This window comes from Homo sapiens, chromosome 16, assembly GCF_000001405.40.
Source record: "Homo sapiens chromosome 16, GRCh38.p14 Primary Assembly".
In the NCBI taxonomy this organism is placed as follows: domain Eukaryota; kingdom Metazoa; phylum Chordata; class Mammalia; order Primates; family Hominidae; genus Homo; species Homo sapiens.
The window spans coordinates 56650514-56668825 of record NC_000016.10 but is presented as its reverse complement, the minus strand read 5'-3'; the positions used below and the strand labels follow the sequence as shown (position 1 = coordinate 56668825).

Here is an 18312-nt window from a genome sequence, read left to right as displayed (position 1 = left end):
GCAGGATCTTCATATCACCTTCAATGATCCCTCTTCTAGGGACTTGCCACACTTTCCAAACTGCCATCCTGTAGTGGGGTACCCGGCTAGGCTGTGGGGAGACCCTGGAGAGATTTATGCAAAGGAGGACCTGGACAAATGGGCCCATTCAGCTCCTCAAGAGTGGAGAATAGAAGAGAGAGGCAGATCACTGTTTCTTCCGTGTTACTGAGCACAGGAGAAGCGTGACCAAAGGACTGAGGTGGGAACGGGGACAGGGCGGATACTGCCAGAGATGCGAAGTTCGCACCCTTGGCCTGCCCTTTGCACACTACTCCCTTGCTATGCTCCCCGCTTTGGCAGATCCAGAAAGTGGAGCACAAGACTGGGGTTGCCCTCGACTCCAGGAAAGGCTTAGCTATTGACTAGAGACCTGGGCGTTGGTGAAGGTGAGGGGAAAGCCAGAATACTGGGGTAGGCGGAACGCCAAGGGGCGGGTGTAGCAGGCAACCTCAGGGAAGCTGGGAAGGCCTGGCAGGGTGAGAGAAGCCGCACACGGGGGGCACAGCGCCTCCCTCGCGAGCCGGTGCGAAAGGGGCCGTCCTGCGGTGTGCGCCCAGCTGCGCTCAAGGGACCTTGCACTTGGCCCATCTCCTGCGCACAGCCCAGGCCGGGACCGCGGGCGGTGCGGACTCAGCGGGCTGGGTGCAAGGGCGGGGCGGGGCGTCTGCGCCCGGCCCCGTCTCCTGACTATAAAAACAGCCGCTGGCTGTTGGGCTCCACTCCGCCTTCCACGTGCACCCACTGCCTCTTCCCTTCTCGCTTGGGAACTCTAGTCTCGCCTCGGGTTGCAATGGACCCCAACTGCTCCTGTGCCGCTGGTAAGGGACGCCCGGGTTCTGTGCCTTGGGATGCCAAATTCCCAGACACCATAGAGAGTGTCCCTGGGTTTGAGGAGGTCGTATTTTGCTATCAGAGGTAAAGGGGACTCCTTTATTGGTCCAGTGCTTTCCTGTTGGCCAAGCTCCTGAGGGCATTTTCCTCCTCCCTGTTCCTCTATGTCAGAGTTGAGGGTCCTGAGGCTCAAGGCTGTCCTGCTCCACGTCACCTGGTTGGTCACAGGGCTGCTGGCTGAGCCCCAATTCTCTAACCTGACTCTGAGCTACCGGATTGGATAGGAGACATTGGATAGGAGGGGACATTGCCTCTTCCAGGTTCAGGACAGAAAGTCGAAGTCTTCCTGGGCCATGTCTGCAGCCTGGGACTTTCCTTTGGAGTAGAAATAGGAGGGTGCTTGGTTTTCCCAGCATGAATGGAGAGGACATGGGGCTTCTCTTCCTCTGCTCTGAGTGGGAAAGGAGCTCTGAGGGCTGGCTCTGCACAGAGAAGGGGGAAGTGGACACTCATTGACCCACTGCTGTACCTTCTGCATCTCACTCACCGTTCACTGGCTTTTTCTCTTCTAGCAGGTGTCTCCTGCACCTGCGCCAGCTCCTGCAAGTGCAAAGAGTGCAAATGCACCTCCTGCAAGAAGAGTGAGTGCGGGGCCATCTCCAGGAATCTGGGGCTGTGGCTAAGGTTGGGAGGGAACCCAAGGCTGTCCCTGAGTGCGTGCTTCTGGGGAACCGGCCTTCCTTTGTCCCTGTAGGTTGTCACTGCCTGTCTAGTCTTCTGCACTTTCCAGGGCTTATGTGAGGTGGGGCAGCTTTCTCAAAGGAAGACCCATTCCAATGTCCACCAGTTGTCTCCTGACAAAAACCATGCCATCATGAACTAAGGGTCCTCTGGGGCTGGAGGGATGGAGACAGGCCTCTGTTGGGGCAGGGAGTTCTCTGATCGAGTCTGCTCTGACCTCTCAATCTCCTTTCCTCCCCAGGCTGCTGCTCCTGCTGCCCTGTGGGCTGTGCCAAGTGTGCCCAGGGCTGCATCTGCAAAGGGGCATCGGAGAAGTGCAGCTGCTGCGCCTGATGTCGGGACAGCCCTGCTCCCAAGTACAAATAGAGTGACCCGTAAAATCCAGGATTTTTTGTTTTTTGCTACAATCTTGACCCCTTTGCTACATTCCTTTTTTTCTGTGAAATATGTGAATAATAATTAAACACTTAGACTTGATTCCCGTTCTGGTTCCTGTTGTGTTTTTGGAATGAGGGACTGGGGTGGGAGATTGAACTGGGAGTTTAGACTGGGCTCTGGATGGAAATGTGAGTGCTGAACAGTCTGAGCGCCTTCAGGCAAGCCCCGTTACATCACTGACCTCCATCTTCTGTAAAAGGCACCTGCACTGTGCTGGATGATATGGGGATGGGGACATACGCGATCAGCTCCACTCATTAAACGTGGTACAGAGACTTCTCCATTCCTCATGTTTATTCTCAGGTTTCCCTGCCCAAGTTCAGATCCTCCGCGGATTTTAGGCTTGAAAGTGACCACAGGAGGTGGATTCCAATGCCTAAATTACTTGAATCCTCCACGGGGCTTCTCAAACTCCACGGTGAAGGGACAGTTTTCATTTTCTATCCATCCCAGACCTAAACCTTTGTAAATAAAGTAATATTAACTATGAAGATAATGAAACACAAAATACAGAACCCATGTTTTACATTTTACACAAAAAAATCAATAAATACATACAGAAATAACAGAAAAATGGAAGGTTTACAAACTCTGCACATATGTTCATGGATGAGTTGCATTGGAGACTGGAAACAGCAGACTGACCCCACTGTGGACCACACCTTCAGCAGCACAGGCCAGGACATTCTCATGAGGAACCATCAGGCTTGGCCTAGCCGGCGTCACAGACAGACAGCACACTCAGGACACTCGCTGAATCCTGAGAGCTCCCTGTTGGGAGTTGGCTCAGAATCTTTGGAAGTTCCTCCCAAGGTCAGGCTTCATTTGTTCCTCTTTCAAACTCCAGCCCTTGACTACTTCAAACCAGCATATTCCCGCCAAGATGTAGTGTGATCGTGGGTTGCAGATGAACTTAGTTTGGAATTTTGATTGTGATTTCATCATCTCCATAATTAATATTACTTTGTTTACAGAAGTTCTCAGAACACAGCTATGGCAGATTGTGCAGCTGGCTGAGTGTGGTGATGTTCCTTAGGAAAGAAAGAGTCCCTGGATGTCTTGTTAATGACAAGTTAGTCCCTCCACTTGTGGAGGGAATGCTATTTGATGTTCAGTCAAAGAGGAAGATGAATCTCCTTGTGTAGAAGTCAGGACCACACTTACCTGTTGCTTCCTTGTGAAATGATTTCAGAAGGCAGCCTGCCCCTAGGGCATAGTTTTAGGTGTCAGGGAGTCTTATTTCACAGCCCACTCCACCACTTACTGGCTGTGTGGTTTGGGCAAGTCACCCACACTCTCTGAGCATCTAGTGCCTCATTTGTAGAAAGGAGATTATATCTCAATGCAGGGATTAAATGAGAGTGTGGGCCGGGCATAGTGGCTCATGCCTGTAATACCTGCACTTTGGGAGGCAGAAGTAGGGAGACTGTTTGAGCCCAGGAGTTTGAGACCAGCCCGGGCAACATGGAGAAACCCCGTCTCTACAAAAAATACAAAAATTATATGGCTCTGGTGGCCTGTGTCTGTCTGAGCTACTCTGGAGGCTGAGATGGGAAGATTGCTTAAGTCCAGGATATAGAGGCTGCAGTCAGCCAAGATTGTGCCACTGCACTCCAGGCTATGCAACAGAATGAGACTCTGTCTCAAAAAAAAAAAAGGAAAAGAAAAAAAGAAAATAAGAGAGTGGCCTGGCTGCTGCCTAGGCTTTAATAAACAATGGTGATTATGATCATTCTCTCTGCACTGACTTTCTTGGAAAAAGATACCATTAAATCCTAACTCACTCCTGGAGAAAGGCTCATTGGTTTGGAAGCATTGCTCTGGGTGGGATGCTGTGAAGTGGTTGCATACCTGGCTGATCCAGTGACAGGAGGAGTGTGGATGTCCTCCTGCAGAAAGTCCTCTGTGATAAGACGCTCCCCCAACATTTGAACACTCATAAAATCCTTTCCCATTCTTCATGTCATTTGACCTTCATGTAACCTGTTGAATGAAGGTCACAAGCTTCAGGACAGGGACAGAAAATATTCAGGGGCTGGTGTGCTTGAGTCATCTTTCAGAGGAATTAAGCAACCTCCCCAATGCCACACAGCTGAGAAGGAAAGGGATGGATGAACCTATGGTAAGGCTGGCCTCTGGCCCTGCCCACAGCTGGCAGATCATGGCATCCCTAGATGCCAAACCCTGCCAATCTCTGTTCAAAGCTATAAAGGACTTTGGAGATGAACAAATTTTGCTCTTGGCTTGAGAGATAGGAACTGAAGCCCAGAGAGGTCCATGGCTATGCACAGCGATCTGACTGCCAACTCAATGTGCTTCCAAAGCTGCCTCACGGCCAGACATTCAGCATCCTCATCCTTGTATTGACTTGGTGGCATAGAGCATGGGGTAAGGGCACGATGCTGCAGTCAGCCTGCGTGAGTGCAAATCCCACCTCTGCCACTTTGTGTGTGACACAACCTCTGTGTCTCAGTCTTATCAACTGGAGGATAATAGTATCTGGCTTGTAAAATTAAATGATTTAATTCATGTAAGGAACTTAGAATGGTGCCTGGCAAGGGGTAAGTCATCTATAACAATAACTGTTGCTTTTTTTTTCTCATTATACATAGCATGAGGGATATTTATTTACTCACAGACAAAGCAGCCAGGCCAGATGTTCTCACTTGTGTATCTTGTTATTCTCATCTACTACATGAACATGTGTCCTGTGGTCAAAGGGACATTCGCTAACACTAGGGATGTAAACGTATAAACAAGATTCCATGCCTCATGTCAGATCAAAAAGAATATCATTTCTGCCCTCCCAGTCACTGTATTTAACATACAATATTGAAGTTATTAATATTTTCTTAAATATGTTTTCATTTAAAGCAAACTCTTTTCCCGCAGCAAAAATGAAAATCAGTCTTATTCCACACATAGAAGATAGTCAGAAGAAGTATAAATGTGTGTTGTATGTGTGTGTATATATATTACAGTTATAGATTGCTTTTGTCACGGCTTATGGTTCAGCTTGTGGCTTGACATTGTTTAAAAGATTTCCAGCAATAGGGAAATGCTGATGACATACCTGGGCCAAAGGAAGGCTTGATCATCGACACTTTCTCTTGAGAGGCTGGCTGGATTCAAATCAGTGACAACTTTTCCATTCCGTGATGTTGAGCAAGTTACTTAAACTTTATGCTATAATTGTCAGATTAGTAAAACGGGTTCATAAACAGTATTTCCCTTTAGGATTGTTGGGAGGGTTCAAAGAAGCAATGATTTAAAGGGGCCTGGCAAAATCTAAATGTTATATGATCGCATCGAAGGAAGAGAGAGGGGATGATCCGTGGTCGCCAGGTTCTGTGTACAGGGGGAACCAGTTTGAGGGTCCTAGGTGGGAAGAGCGACAGGCAATGTGCGGGGCGGGGGGGGAGGGGGCGCGGAGGAGAAACAAAAGCCACCTCCACCGCCGCACATCTGCGCACGGCTCACTCTCTCGGCTCCCAGCTTCCGCCAATGAAGAAGGCGAGCACGAGGATGGAGCTACACACGGACACGGGAGAGGCAAAGCTGATGACGAAGGTGCAGGGCGGGGGATGAGGATAACGCGACCACCTGGGAATAGAAAATAGCTCTCAGGGTGGCAGGGGCGCCACGTACCTCCGGGAGCATAGCCCCTCCCGCACTAGCGGGCGCCAAAGGGGCGGCCCCAGGGGGCCCACCAGGTTGCGCTCAGGGGATGGTGCTCCCGACTCGCCTGCTGCGCACATCCCAACCCAGGACCGCAGGCGCCGCGGATTCCGCGTGGGGGTGGGGGAGGGGGTGCTCTGCACCCGGCCCCCTCCTCTAACTATAAATTGATCGCCCGCTTCATGGAATCCACCATGCCTCCCACCTGCCCCACTGCTTCTACGCCCCTCCCTTAGAAACCCCAGCCTCACCTCGGCTCGAAATGTACCCCAAGTGCTCCTGCTCCACTAGTAAGAGATACCGGGTTTCGGGCCTTAGGATCTCCATTTTCATTCCAGAGGATGGAATGTCCCCGGGGCAGGAGGGAGGTGCATGTTAGCTCTCCCTAAAGTGGCCTCCTTTACTTTGCACTTCCGGTGCTTTCTTCCTGCCAAGCGCCTTCATCACCACTTAGACTGTTGTCATCTTCCCAGTGCCTTCCATTTCTGAGGCTAGAGGACTGAGGCTCAAAACTGCCCTGCTCCGGGTCACCCAGATAGCCAGTAGGGTCCTGGGCTGGGACCCAGTGCTCTGTCCCGCATTAGAGCTGCCTGAAGTGGATGGGAGGCAGGGAGCATTGCCTCTTAAGGATTCCTGACATAAGGCCTTGTGGAGTAAAATTAGGAGGGCGCCTGCCTATCACAACCTGTGTGGAGAAAAGATGGGGCTGGGCTTCCGTGTGCCTGAGCAGAACAAGGTACCAGGTTTCCCATGCACTGAGCATGAGGATGCTGAGGGCCTGCTCCTAACCCTGCACCACACTCACTGCTCACTGCCTTTTTCTCTTCCCTGCAGGTGGGTCCTGCACCTGCGCCAGCTCAGAGTCAAGCATCATCTTGGCACACGCCTGTAGTCCCAGCTAACTCTGGAGGCTTAGGCAGGAGAATTGCTTGAGCCTGGGAGACGGAGGTTGCAGTGAGCCGAGATTGAGGTTGCAGTGAGCTGAGATGGAGCCACTGCACTCCAGCCTGGCCGACACAGGGAGAATCCGTCTCAAAAAAAAAAAAAAAAAGATTTCCAGCAATAGAAAAGTGCTGACGACATACCTGGGCCAAAGGAAAGCTTGATCATGGACAGCTTCTCTTGAGAGGCTGGCTAGATTTAAATCAGTGATAAGTTTTCAGCTCTCTGATGTTGAGCAAGTTACTTAAACCTCTTGTTATAGTTGTCAGATTAGTAAAATGGGTTCATAAATAGCATTTCCCTTTAGGATTATTGGGAGTGTTCAAGGAATGAATGATTTAAAGAGGCCTGGCACGTTCTAAATGTTACATGATAAGAACATTGAAGAGAAATACCCACTACTCTCCTTGATTGACCGCAGGGTCTGCATGTCACCCAAAGTCATCCTCTTTGGAGGGTGCCCCTCATTTTCAAAACTGCCATCCTGCAGTGGGGTGGCTGGCAGGCCTGGGATAGTCCAGGAGAACTATATGAAAAGGAGGAAACTGACAAATGTGCCCACCATCACCTCAGAGGAGGAGCATCGAAGGAACAGAGAGAGAGGCCGACCCTTGGTTGCCACATTCTGTCTGCAGCGGAAACGATTTTGAGGGTCCTAGGTGGGAAGAAGGACAGACAATGAGAGGGGAGGGTGAGGGAGAAGCAAGTCACCTCCACCGTGGCTCATCTGCACACTGCTCACTAGCTCCGCTCCCTGCTACAGCCAGTGTAGAAGGTGAGCAAGAGGATGGAGCTGCACACGGACCCCAGAGAGGCAAAGCTGGTGGCGATGGTGCGCAGAGGGAGGAAGGGAGGGGTTGGGGATAGCACGTAAGAGATATCATGGTATGGGCATCTGTAACAGACCTAAGCTTTGGCAAAATAAACTAAAATGAATTAGTATGAAATATAAAAACAAAGTCTACTTTTTATACTCAACATGGTGGGAAAGGATTGTTCTCTGTCCAAATGCTGCAGCAGTGTCTCATCCTGGACAATTTTGTGCAGGAGGTCATCCACATGCCCTTAAGACCAGATCAACAAGAGACCCATCCTCAACTTCCAGTCCACATAATACCTCCAGGCAGATTAGTGTTACCCAAGGAGCTTGATGAGATGTAACAGGATTCTATCTCCAGGAAGTGCACGTGGACAAATGATTATAACAGCACTGTTTATTAAGCCCGAGCCAGGTACCAGGGCACTATCACATTTAATCCCTACATATATTTATAATCTGCTTTCTACAAGTGAGGAAATGGAGGCACAGAGAGGTTAAGTGACTTGTGCCAGCTACACAGCCAGGAAGGTGTGAAGTGGGCTGTGAATCTGGTTATGTGACACCCAAACTTGCACATGACCCACGCTGCCTTCTGAAATGCCCTCTTCACAAAGGGCACCTGCGGGCAAGCATGGTCCTGACTCCTGGGCCACTTAACTCCTCTTCCTCTGTGATTGAACATCAGATAGCAATTCTCGAACCAGTAGCCAGTGGAACCTACTGTTGGCCTAACTACCAGTCACCAGGGTGACTCCTCTCTCCTTCTTGAACAGCAACACACCTTCCAACTGCAGAATATGCCATCACCACTGCATCAGCACACTCAACATCCTTCATCTGCACCCAGTCCTTCTCATGACTCTGCGTTGCCGAGATGACGCTTTCCTCCACATCTCCAGTCACTTTGCTGCCCTGAATTAATGAAGGTTGGAATTTAAAGAACAAAAATAGCTTAATCTTGGGAGAAACTGCCAAAGATTCAGACACAAGTCACTACAGGGCGCACTCAGGGGTCAGAGAGTGTCCTGTTGGTGACACTGGGCCAGCCAGGACTGATGGTTCCTTGTCAGGATGTCATGACCACTGCTGCTCAAAGTGTGTAATCTACACACTAGGGCCTGTCTGCTGTTTACAGTCTGCAGTGCACGGCATCCATCAACATATACATAGTTTATAAAGTTGTAATTTTCCTGGTATTTCTTTTTATATTTATTGAACTTTTTCCTGTTGAGTCTAAAAATGGATTTTGTAATTTTTTTTATGAGGTCTCCTTCTGTCACCCAGACTGCGATGCAATGGTGCAAACATGGCTCACTGCAGCCTTCAATTCCTGAGCTAGATGGATTCTCCTGCCTCAGCCTCCAAGTAGCTACGATTACAGACTTGCTCCACCACACCTTGTTAAGTGTTTATTTATTTATTTAGAGACAAGGGTCTCCCTATGTTGCCAAGGCTGGTCTCAAACTCCTGGTGTCAAGTGATCCTCCCTTTTGAGCCTCTCAAAGTATGGGGATTATAGGTGTGAGTCATCCTGCTCGGCCAGATTTTGTATATTGAATTTAATTTCATGACTTCCATCATTAGTATTATTTCATTTACCAAGGTTTAGATGTGGAATGGATAGGAATTAAAAACCCCTCCTTCACCCTGGAGTTTGAGAAGCCCGGTGTAGAATTCAAATAACTAAGGGGTTTGATTCCATTCCGTGTAGTCACTTTCTAACCTGAAATCCAAAGAGGAATTGAAGTTGGGCAGAGAAATCAGAGAAGGAACAGGAGGCATTGAGAAGTTTCTGTGCCACATTTGAGAATGAAGGTGATCCTGTATTCTGGATCCCCACCAATGACCTGATGAAGTGTTATTCCATTCTACAGAAGAGGAAGCACAGTGAGGCAGCCTGGCTTGCCTTAATGCACTCTGATTGTTAGGGACTCAGATTTCCATTTAGAGCCCAGGAGTCTGCAACCCTAGTTCGATCCCCCACCCCAGTCTCTGATTTCTGAAGCACATAAGGGAAACTGAAGTCAGAATCAGGTCTAAAGTGTTTAATTATCACTCACATATTTCACAGGAAAAGGAATGTAGCAAATGGGTCAAGGTGGTATAAAAAAAAAATCCAGGTTTGTACATGTCTCTCTGTTTACATCTGGGAGAAAGGTTGTCCTGGCATCAGTCGCAGCAGCTGCACTTCTCTGACGCCCCTTTGCAAACACAGCCCTGGGCACACTTGCTACAGCCCACGGGGCAGCAGGAGCAGCAGCCTGGGGAAGAAGAGGAGCATGAGAGGTCACAGCCAACTTGCCCAGGGACCTCCCTCCCCAACAGAGGCCCCCAACAGAGCCTCCAGCCACAAAGGACCCTCAGTTCAGGAGGGTATGGCTTTGTCAGGAGACAACTGGGAAATATCTGGGGTGGGTCTTCCTATGAGAAAGCTGCCCAGGCGCCCTGCACAGGGCAGAAGACTAGAAAGGCAGTGACAACCTACGGGGACAAAGGAAGGCCAGTTCCCCAGAAGCATGCACTCAGGGCCAGCCTTGGGTTCCATCCCAACCTTAGCCACAGCCCCAGACCATGGAGATGGCCTCACACTCACTCTTCTTGCAGGAGGTGCATTTGCACTCTTTGCACTTGCAGGAACCAGCGCAGGTGCAGGAGACACCTGCGAGAAAGAGAAAAAAAAGCCAGTGAGCGGCGAGTGACCTGCAGGAGGTACAGCAGTGAGTTAATGAGTCTCCATTGCCCCCTCCTCTGTGCGGGGCCAGCCCTCAGAGCTCCTTTCCCACTCAGAGCAGAGGAAGAGAAGCCCCATGTCCTCTCCCTTCATGCTGGGAAGGCCAAGCAGCCTCCTGTTTGCACTCCAAAGGAAAGTCCCAGGCTCCAGGCACAGCCTGGGAAGACGGCGACTTCGACTTTCTGTCCTGAACCCCGAAGAGGCAATGTCCCCTGCCTCCTATCTAATCCTGCTGCTCAAAGCCTGGTCAGAGCACTGGGGCTCAGCCAACAGCCCTGGGACAAACCGCATGACGTGGAGCAGGACAGCCTTGAGCCTCAGTACCCTCAACGCTGACACAGAGGCACAGAGAGGAAGGAAATGCTCTCAGGATCTTGGCCAAGAGGAAAGCACTGGACTAAGTCAAGGAGTCCCCTACAGTTGAGATCTCAAAATACGACCTTCTCAAACCCAGGAACACTCTCTATGGTGTCTGGGAATCGAGCATCCCCAGGCACGGAACCCGGCGTTCCTTACCAGCGGCGCAGGAGCAGTTGGGGTCCATTGCAAGCCGAGGAGAGACTGGACTTTCCAAGAGAGAAGCGAAGAAGCAGTGGGGCAGGTGGAAGGCGTGGTGGACCCCAACAGCCGGCCGCTGCTTTGATAGTCAGGGGAGGGGGCCGGGCGCAGAGACCCCGCCCCGTCTTTGCACCCGCCCCGCCTGTCAGCGCTGCGGGAGGTCCTGGGTGGGCTGTGTGCAGCAGAAGGGCCGGGCGCAAGGTCCCCTGAGCGCAGCTCGCTGCACACCGCGGACCGTCCCTTTGGAGTCCGCTCAAGCGGGAGGCGCTTTGTGCCTGGGTGAGCGGCTTCCCTGCCCTCCTGCCCGCCCTTCCCAGTTTCGCCAAGATTGCCTGCTACACCCGCCCCTTGGGGTTCCGGGTACCTGGAGATCCTGGCCTTCGCCCCGCCCCCCGGCCCCGCCCCGGTCCTTCGTCAACAGCTAAGCCTTTCCTGGAGTCCCAGTGCAACCCCAGTCTCTTGCGCCACTGTCTAGATTGGCGGGAGCAGGGAGCCTAGCAAGGGAGTAGTGTGCAAAGGACAGGCCGAGGATGTGACCTTCGGATCTCTAGCATTGCCTGTCCCTGTCACCCCACCTCAGTCCTTTGGCCATGTTTCTCCTGCGCACAGCAACACGGAAGACACAGGGCTCTGCCCCCCTCTCTTCCATTCTTCACTCTTGAGAGGCTGAATGGGCACATTTGTCTGGGTCCTCCTTTGCATAAATCTCTCCGGGGTCTCCCCACAGCCTCGACGGGCACCCCACTATAGGATGGCAGTTTGGAAAATATGGGATGCCCCCAGAAGCGAGATCACTGAAGGCGGAGTTTGCGGTGAGCCGAGATCGCACCATTTTTGCACTCCATCCTGGGCAACAAGAGTGAAACTCCCTCTCAAAAAAAAAAAAAAAAAAAAAAAAAAAAAAAAAAGAAAAGAAAAGAAAGAAAAGAAAAAGAAAAAGAAAAACTTAACATAAGAAGTAAGAAAGACAAGTGGTTAATTCCCTTCAATATTACTAGCAATTGCTTAAGGTTGAGTCTGTGCCAGTCTCCTTTTAATCATTTTCATTGTTTGAACCTTTACAACAATTGTAAAGGGAAATACTAGGCATGAACCCATATTAATAAATGGACACCTACAACAAAGAAAGTTCAAGCAACGTGCTCATCGTCACAGAGCTAAAAAGCTGTGCACTGATTTGAATCCAGCCAGCCTCTCAGGAGAAATTCTCTGAAATAAGGCCCAGCTATGTCTTCTCTATTGCTGGACTTCCCTATGGCTTGAAATCTTTTAAATAATAACAAGTCAGGCCGGGCACCGTGGCTCACGCCTGTAATCCCAGCACTTTGGGAGGCTGAGGTGGGCAGATCACTGCAGGCCAGAAGTTCAAGACCAGCCTGGCCAACATGGCAAAACCCCATCTCTACTAAAAATACAAAAATTAGCCAGGCGTGGTGGCACGAGCCTGTAATCCCAGCTACTTGGGAGGCTGAGGTTGCAGTGAGCCAAAATTGTGCCACTGCACTCGAGCCTGGGTGACAGAGAGAGACTCTGTCTCAAAATAGTAATAATAATAATAATAATGACAAAGTCGCCAGCTCAACCATGGGCAATGACAAAAGCAATCCATAAGTGTAATAAGCATATATATATACATACATACACATGCACACATATATACTTTTCTGGCTATCTTCTACATATGGATAAGACTGATTTTCATTTTTGGTGGTGGAAGAGAGTTTGCTTTCATAAAAATATATTTAAGAAAGTATTAATCATTTCAATGTGAAATGATAAATAAAATGTGCACATGGCAGCAGAAATGGCTGTCATTCTATTTGTGACATGAGGCACAGCATCTTGCTCATAGCTTTTTAACCCTGTGTTGATGACATTTTTGTGGGAACAGTGAATAACTCTCAGGTCCACAGGACCCGTGTTTGAGTGGTAGATGACAATGACAGCATACACAGCTAGGCATTCCAGGCCTGGCTGCTCTGTCTGTGAATGAACAAATATCCCCTATGCTATGTGTATTGATTGTTTTAAAGAAGCAATAGCTAATATTGTAGACTACTCACCACTTGCCAGGCATCATTCCAAGTTTCTTACATGTATTAAATTATTTAATCCTACATGCCAGATGCCATTATTATGCACCTTTTACAGGGGAGGAGACTGAGACACAGAGAGGTTGCAAGGCACAGCTAAAGTGACAGAGGCGGGATTTGCATTCATGCATGCTAATGACAGCATCATGCCCTCACCCACCACTCTATGCTACCAAGTCGCAAGAAAGATGAGGACACGGAAAATCTGGCCCAAAGGCAGCCGTGGGAAGCACATTCAGTTGGCAGTCACTTTCCCCCTCCACAGCTCTGTGACCTCTCTGGGCTTCAGTGCTCATCTCTTAAGCCAAGTGCAAAATCGGTCTATCCCGAAGCATCTTTATAGATTTGAACCACGGTAGACAGAGTATAGCATCCAGTGATTAGCAGATCATGCTCTGCCAGCTGTGACCAGGACAACAGGCCAGGGGTAACATAGGTTCATGCATCCCTTCACTTCTGAGCTCCATGGTCTTAGGCAGGTTGATTAACTACTCTGGAAGACAGCACAGGCACTCCAGGCCCTGCATATTTGCTGTCCTGGTTCTGAGGCCTGTGGCTCTCATTCCCAAGGTTCTGTGAAGATCCAGTGATATGAAGGCTGAGAAAGGCTTTTGTGTCTGTACAAATGCCAAGCAGCAGCATCTTATCCAATACCACATTCCTCCCGGCAGGATCACCAGGCTGCAATCTCATTCCCAGCATCTAATCCAGAGTAATGCTTCCAAACCTATGAGCCTTTCTCCAGGAGGTCGTTGGGATTTAACAGAATTTGTCTAAGAAAGTAGTGTAGGCTATGTGCAGTGGGTCACACCTGTAATCCCAGCATTTGATAGGCCAAGGTTGGCGCATCACTTGAGATCAGGAGATCGAGACCAGCCTGGCCAACAGGGTGAAACACTGCCTCTACAAAAATACAAAGCTTAACTGGGCGTGGTGGTGTGCATCTGTAATCCCAGCTACTCAGGAGACTGAGGTGGGAGAATCGCTTGAACCCGGGAGGCGGAGGCTGTAGAGAGCTGAGATCCCACCACTGCACTCCAGCCTGGACAACAGAGGGAGACTCCATCTCAAAAAAATTAATTAATTAATTAAAAAATAAATAAAAAGAAAGTGAGTGTAGAGAGAATAATCATAAGCCTCATTATTTATTTATTTTTAACTTTTTCTTCTTTTTTTCTTTTTTCTTTCAGAGATGAGAATCTTACTTTTTTTTTGGCGGTGAAGCAGGCTGTGAACCAGGACTGCCTGACACGAAAATCCATGTCCTAGGCTCAGGCTGCCCTCTGAAATCTCCTCTTCACAGGGAAGCAGTGGGTAAGCATGGTCCTGATCTCTAGGCCAGGAAATTCATTTTCCTTTTTGATTGAACATCAAATAGCATTCCCTCCACAGAGCCAGGGGGACTAATTGTTGGCTTTTATTATAAATCAGCCAGGGACTCACTCCTTAATGAGCACCACCACACCCTCCAAACCGCAGAGTCCTCCATCACCCCTGCATGGGCAGACACGAAGAACTTCTTCTGCAACCCACGATGACACACACTGCACCCTGCTGGGAACATGCTGGGCATTTCCCTCCACATCTCCAGTCGCTTTGATGTTTTGAAGTAGGCAAAGGCTGGAATTTAGAAAGAGGAACAAATTCAGCTTGAGCTTGGGTGGAGCTTGCAAAGATTCAGAGCCGGCTGGGCGCGGTGGCTCATGCCTATAATCCCAGCACTTTGGGAGGCTGAGGCGGGCAGATCACGAGGTCGGGAGATCGAGACCATCCTGGCTAACACGGTGAAACCCCGTCTCTACTAAAAATACAAAAAATTAGCCGGGCGTGGTGGCGGGCGCCTGTAGTCCCAGCTACTCGGGAGGCTGAGGCAGGAGAATGGCATGAACCTGGGAGGCGGAGCTTGCAGTTAGCCAAGATCGCACCACTGCACTCCAGCCTGGGCAACAAAGCAAGACGCCGTTTAAAAAAAAAAAAAAAAAAAAGATTCAGAGCCAAGTCACAACTGGGAGCTCTCTGGGGTCAGTGAGTGTCCTGTCAGTGACACTAGGCAGGCCAAGCCTGATGGTTCCTGTGGGGACGTGCTGGGCAGTGCTGCTCAAGGTGTGTGAGCCACACCCTGGGACCAGTCTGCTGATTCCAGTCTGCAATGCACATAAGCAAAATATGGGCAAAGTTTGTGAATCTCTCATTTTCCTGTTATTTCTGTGTATACTTATTGAAATGTTTCCTGTTGAATCTTAAAATGGTTTCTGTATTTTGTGTTTGATTTCATTATATCTGTAATTAATATTATTTTATTTACAAAGGTTTAGGCCTGGGATGGATTGGAATTAGAAAATGTTTCTTCACTGTGGAGTTCGAGAAGCCCCGTGTAGAGCTCAAGCAACTGAGGAGTTGGATTCCACCCCGTCATCACTTTCAAGCCTAAAATCTGATGAGGGACTGAAGCTGAGCAGGGAAATCAGAAAATAAAAATGAGAAATGGAGAAGTTTCTCTGCCACATTTGCACATTTGACATGACCCGAGGCGATCATGCATGTCCCCCCAACCCCGTCATGTGATCCCACACAGTGCAGTTCCATTTTACAGAAGATGGAGCTCAGGGAGGTAACCGGGCTTGCCTGAAGGTATTCAGACTATAGGGGCTCACATTTCCATCCAGAACCAGGTCTTTAAATTCCCAGTTCAATCCCCCACTCCAACTGTTATTTCCAAGCCACAGAAAGGAAAAGGAGAGTCAGAATCAAGTCAAAAGTGTTTTATTGTCTTTCACATATTGAATAGAAAAAAGAATGTAGCAAACCGGTCAGGGTAGTTAAAAAAAAAAATCCAGGTTAGTACTGGTTGCTCTATTTATGTCTGGGAGCAGGGCTCTCCCAACATCAGGCACAGCAGCGGCACTTCTCTGATGAGCCTTTGCAGACACAGCCCTGGGCACACTTGGCACAGCCCACGGGGCAGCAAGAGCAGCAGCCTGGGGAAGAAGGGGAGAGTGAGAGGTCACAGCTGACTTGACCAGGAACCTCTCTGTCCCAACAGCAAGCCTGGCTGAAGTTCAGCCCCCACACCCAGAGGATGCATTTTTAGGCTGGCACAGCTGTGTTCTGATGGTACATTTGAGGTTTGTGTCCCAATAGAAAAAGTCTGCCCTGACCCATCTGAGCTCAGAGCAGAAAGCCTGGAGAGGGAATGACACAGCCAACAGGGGCAAAGGAAGACCAGTTCCCAAAAGCATGCACTCAGGGCCAGCCTTGTGTTCCCTTCCAAGCTTAGCCACAGCCCCAGATTCCTGGAGATGATCCCACACTCACACTTCTTGCAGGAGGTACATTTGCACTCTTTGCACTTGCAGGAGCCGGCGCAGGCACAGGAGCCACCTGCAAGGAAGCGAAAAAGGCAGTGGGCAGTGAGTAAGATGCAGAAGGTACAGCAGTGAGTCCATGAGTGTCCAGTGCGCCATCCTCTGTGCAGGGCCAGCCATCAGAGCTCCTTTCCCACTCAGAGCGGAGGAACAGAAGCCCCATGTCCTCTCCACTCAGGCTGGGAAGGGCAAGCACCCTTCTTTATATACCCCATCAGGAAGGTCCCAGCTCCACACACAGTCCAGGAAGACTGGGGCTGGAGGCCAAAACCTTCTGTGTTGAACTCTGAAGAGGCTATGTCCCCCACCTCTCACCCTTCCCGGCTGCTCAGAGTTAGAGCAGAGCACTGGGGCGCAGCCAGCAGCCCCCTGACTAGGTGGGTGACATGGAGCAGGACAGCCTCGATCCTCAGAATCCCCAACTCTGACTTACAAGCACAGAGGAGGGAGATGCTCACAGGAGCTTGGGCAAGAGGAAAGCACTGGCAAAAGTAAACGAGTTCCCTTCAACTCACATCTCATAATGCAACCTTCTCTAACCCAGGGACACTGTGTACAGTGGCCGGGAATGGGCATCTCAAGGCCCAGAGCCAGGCGTCCCTTACCTGTGGTGCAGGAGCAGTTGGGATCCATTTGGAGCCAAGACAAGCCTGGAGTTCCTAGGCAAGATATGAGAAGTCAGGGCAGGAGGAAGGTGTGATGGAGCCCAGGAGCTGGCTGCTCCCTTTATAGTCGGGGGAGGTGGTGGGGTGCAGAGGCCCCGCCCTGGCCCTTGCACTCACCCCTGCTGAGTCTGCACTGCCCGTGGTCCATGCCTGGGCCATGAGCAGTGACCTGGCCTGACTCAGGACTGTTATCATCGTTACCTTCCCTGGATACCGTGTGCAACCCCAGCCCCGTGTTCAACTTTCAGGATCAGCAGCAGCGGGAGCACAGGGAGAGAGTTGTGTGCAAAGGACTGGTGGAGGCTGTGACCTTTGGATTTCCCACCTTGCCTGAGTATGTCCCCACCTCGGTCCCTCAGTCACATTTCTCCTGTGCACAGCAACAGGACAGAGACACAGGGCTCTGTCTCCCTCCCTTCCATTCTCCACTCTTGAGAAGCTGAATGGGGATATTTGTCCAGGTCCTCCTTTGCATAAATCTCTCCAGGGTCTCCCCACAGCCTAGCTGGCCGCCCTACGACAGGATGGCCATTCGGAAAATGTGGGATGTCCCCAGAAGAGGGATCATTGAAGGTGACATGCAGATCCTGGATGAAATTAGAAAGCAATTTCCTTCCATATTCCTATTATTGTACATAACATTAATCCATGTTAGGCCCTGTTTAATCACTTTCAATCTTTGAACCCTCACAGCAACCCAAAAGGGACACACATTCTATTTATGAACCCATATTCCTAATCTGGACAATGACAGTACAAGGAGTTCAAGCCACTAGCCCGTGGTCAGAGGGCTAGGAAATGATACTGCTGGGTCTGAGTCCTGTCAGCTTCCCAAGGGAGAGAGGGCACTGATGAAGCTTCCGTCTGACCTAGGTATATTCGTCTCTTTACTGTTTGAAATCTTTAAACAAAACCAAGCATCAAGGTCAGTCCTGGAAGCAAAACAGGGATGCAGAGGGGTATGAATAAGGAGAATTTCATGGCAACCTTCTATGTCTGGAAGTTAAATTGATTCTTTTTTCAGTAGCGCTAATGAGTTTGCTTTTCATATAAATATATCTAAGGAAATAGGAATCATTTAAAAGAAAAATGTTGAGTCACATATTGGTGCAGGTGGTAGCAGAACTGGCAGGCGTCTTTCCATTTCTGTGATGGGGACAGGGACTGTCTTGCTCATGGCTTTATATTTCTGGTGTGAATCCTTATTTTGTGGCAGAGTGCAGGACCCTGTCAGGACCACAGGTCAATGCTTATGTGGCTGATGAGAAAGACAGAGGACACACAGGGAGGGACACCAGGCCTGGCTCTTTTGTCTGGAGTAAAAATGTCAACTATGCTATCGTCTGAGTCCATTTGGGCTGCTACCACCAGATACCTTAAACTGGGTAACTTAAAACAGCAAAAATAT

General features: G+C 49.8%; 3 protein-coding genes and 1 long non-coding RNA gene across 7 annotated transcripts, besides 2 other annotated features; 1 reads left to right on the top strand and 3 right to left on the bottom strand.

The window, feature by feature from the left end:
• The first annotated feature begins 760 nt into the window (after positions 1 to 760).
• On the top strand, positions 761 to 2096 carry MT1G (metallothionein 1G). 2 transcript variants are annotated; one of them, NM_005950.3, is made up of 3 exons: positions 761 to 860; positions 1449 to 1514; positions 1856 to 2096. In NM_005950.3, the coding sequence occupies exons 1-3, from the start codon at positions 833 to 835 to the stop codon at positions 1945 to 1947; spliced, it is 186 nt and encodes a 61-aa protein (NP_005941.1). In that variant the 5' UTR covers positions 761 to 832; the 3' UTR covers positions 1948 to 2096. The 2 variants fall into 2 exon arrangements, with proteins under 2 accessions (NP_005941.1, NP_001288196.1); NM_001301267.2 differs by having other exon boundaries at positions 1446 to 1514.
• A 232-nt stretch (positions 2097 to 2328) lies between these two features.
• LOC101927536 (uncharacterized) lies at positions 2329 to 6573 on the bottom strand. 2 transcript variants are annotated; one of them, XR_001752208.2, is made up of 3 exons: positions 5982 to 6573; positions 5126 to 5655; positions 2329 to 4035 (listed from the first exon to the last, which is right to left on the bottom strand). It is a non-coding gene; the product is annotated as an uncharacterized LOC101927536 (long non-coding RNA). The 2 variants fall into 2 exon arrangements; XR_001752207.2 differs by lacking the exon at positions 5982 to 6573 and having other exon boundaries at positions 2329 to 3083; positions 3904 to 4035; positions 5126 to 5325.
• Positions 6094 to 6968: an enhancer, noted in NCBI's record as "H3K4me1 hESC enhancer chr16:56695770-56696644 (GRCh37/hg19 assembly coordinates)". NCBI's record gives its function as "activates a minimal SCP1, AML or CMV promoter by ChIP-STARR-seq in naive and primed H9 embryonic stem cells {active_cell/tissue: H9 hESC(naive and primed)}" and the evidence as "EXISTENCE:reporter gene assay evidence [ECO:0000049][PMID:30033119]".
• MT1F (metallothionein 1F) lies at positions 9523 to 10867 on the bottom strand. Of its 2 annotated transcripts, none has more exons than NM_001301272.2 (3): positions 10740 to 10867; positions 10044 to 10151; positions 9523 to 9753 (listed from the first exon to the last, which is right to left on the bottom strand). In NM_001301272.2, exons 1-2 carry the CDS (start codon positions 10765 to 10767, stop codon positions 10045 to 10047), a joined length of 135 nt encoding a protein of 44 aa, NP_001288201.1. In that variant the 5' UTR covers positions 10768 to 10867; the 3' UTR covers positions 9523 to 9753; position 10044. The 2 variants fall into 2 exon arrangements, with proteins under 2 accessions (NP_001288201.1, NP_005940.1); NM_005949.4 differs by having other exon boundaries at positions 10086 to 10151.
• Positions 10544 to 11517: an enhancer, noted in NCBI's record as "H3K27ac-H3K4me1 hESC enhancer chr16:56691221-56692194 (GRCh37/hg19 assembly coordinates)". NCBI's record gives its function as "activates a minimal SCP1, AML or CMV promoter by ChIP-STARR-seq in naive H9 embryonic stem cells {active_cell/tissue: H9 hESC(naive)}" and the evidence as "EXISTENCE:reporter gene assay evidence [ECO:0000049][PMID:30033119]".
• MT1B (metallothionein 1B) lies at positions 15622 to 16940 on the bottom strand. Its single transcript, NM_005947.3, has 3 exons — positions 16845 to 16940; positions 16190 to 16255; positions 15622 to 15852 (listed from the first exon to the last, which is right to left on the bottom strand). The coding sequence occupies exons 1-3, from the start codon at positions 16870 to 16872 to the stop codon at positions 15761 to 15763; spliced, it is 186 nt and encodes a 61-aa protein (NP_005938.1). The 5' UTR covers positions 16873 to 16940; the 3' UTR covers positions 15622 to 15760.
• Positions 16941 to 18312: the final 1372 nt, after the last annotated feature.

Excerpts from the sequence above, each read along its gene's own strand:
- MT1B (NM_005947.3), bottom strand. The coding sequence starts at position 16,872 with ATGGATCCCAACTGCTCCTGCACCACAG. Across the intron at positions 16,256-16,844 it reads CAACTGCTCCTGCACCACAG|GTGGCTCCTGTGCCTGCGCC; the intron begins GTAAGGGACGCC and ends GCTTCCTTGCAG. Across the intron at positions 15,853-16,189 it reads ATGTACCTCCTGCAAGAAGT|GCTGCTGCTCTTGCTGCCCC; the intron begins GTGAGTGTGGGA and ends CTTCTTCCCCAG.
- MT1F (NM_005949.4), bottom strand. The coding sequence starts at position 10,767 with ATGGACCCCAACTGCTCCTGCGCCGCTG. Across the intron at positions 10,152-10,739 it reads CAACTGCTCCTGCGCCGCTG|GTGTCTCCTGCACCTGCGCT; the intron begins GTAAGGAACGCC and ends TCTTTCTCGCAG. Across the intron at positions 9,754-10,085 it reads ATGCACCTCCTGCAAGAAGA|GCTGCTGCTCCTGCTGCCCC; the intron begins GTGAGTGTGAGG and ends CTTCTTCCCCAG.
- MT1G (NM_001301267.2), top strand. The coding sequence starts at position 833 with ATGGACCCCAACTGCTCCTGTGCCGCTG. Across the intron at positions 861-1,445 it reads CAACTGCTCCTGTGCCGCTG|CAGGTGTCTCCTGCACCTGC; the intron begins GTAAGGGACGCC and ends TTTCTCTTCTAG. Across the intron at positions 1,515-1,855 it reads ATGCACCTCCTGCAAGAAGA|GCTGCTGCTCCTGCTGCCCT; the intron begins GTGAGTGCGGGG and ends TTTCCTCCCCAG.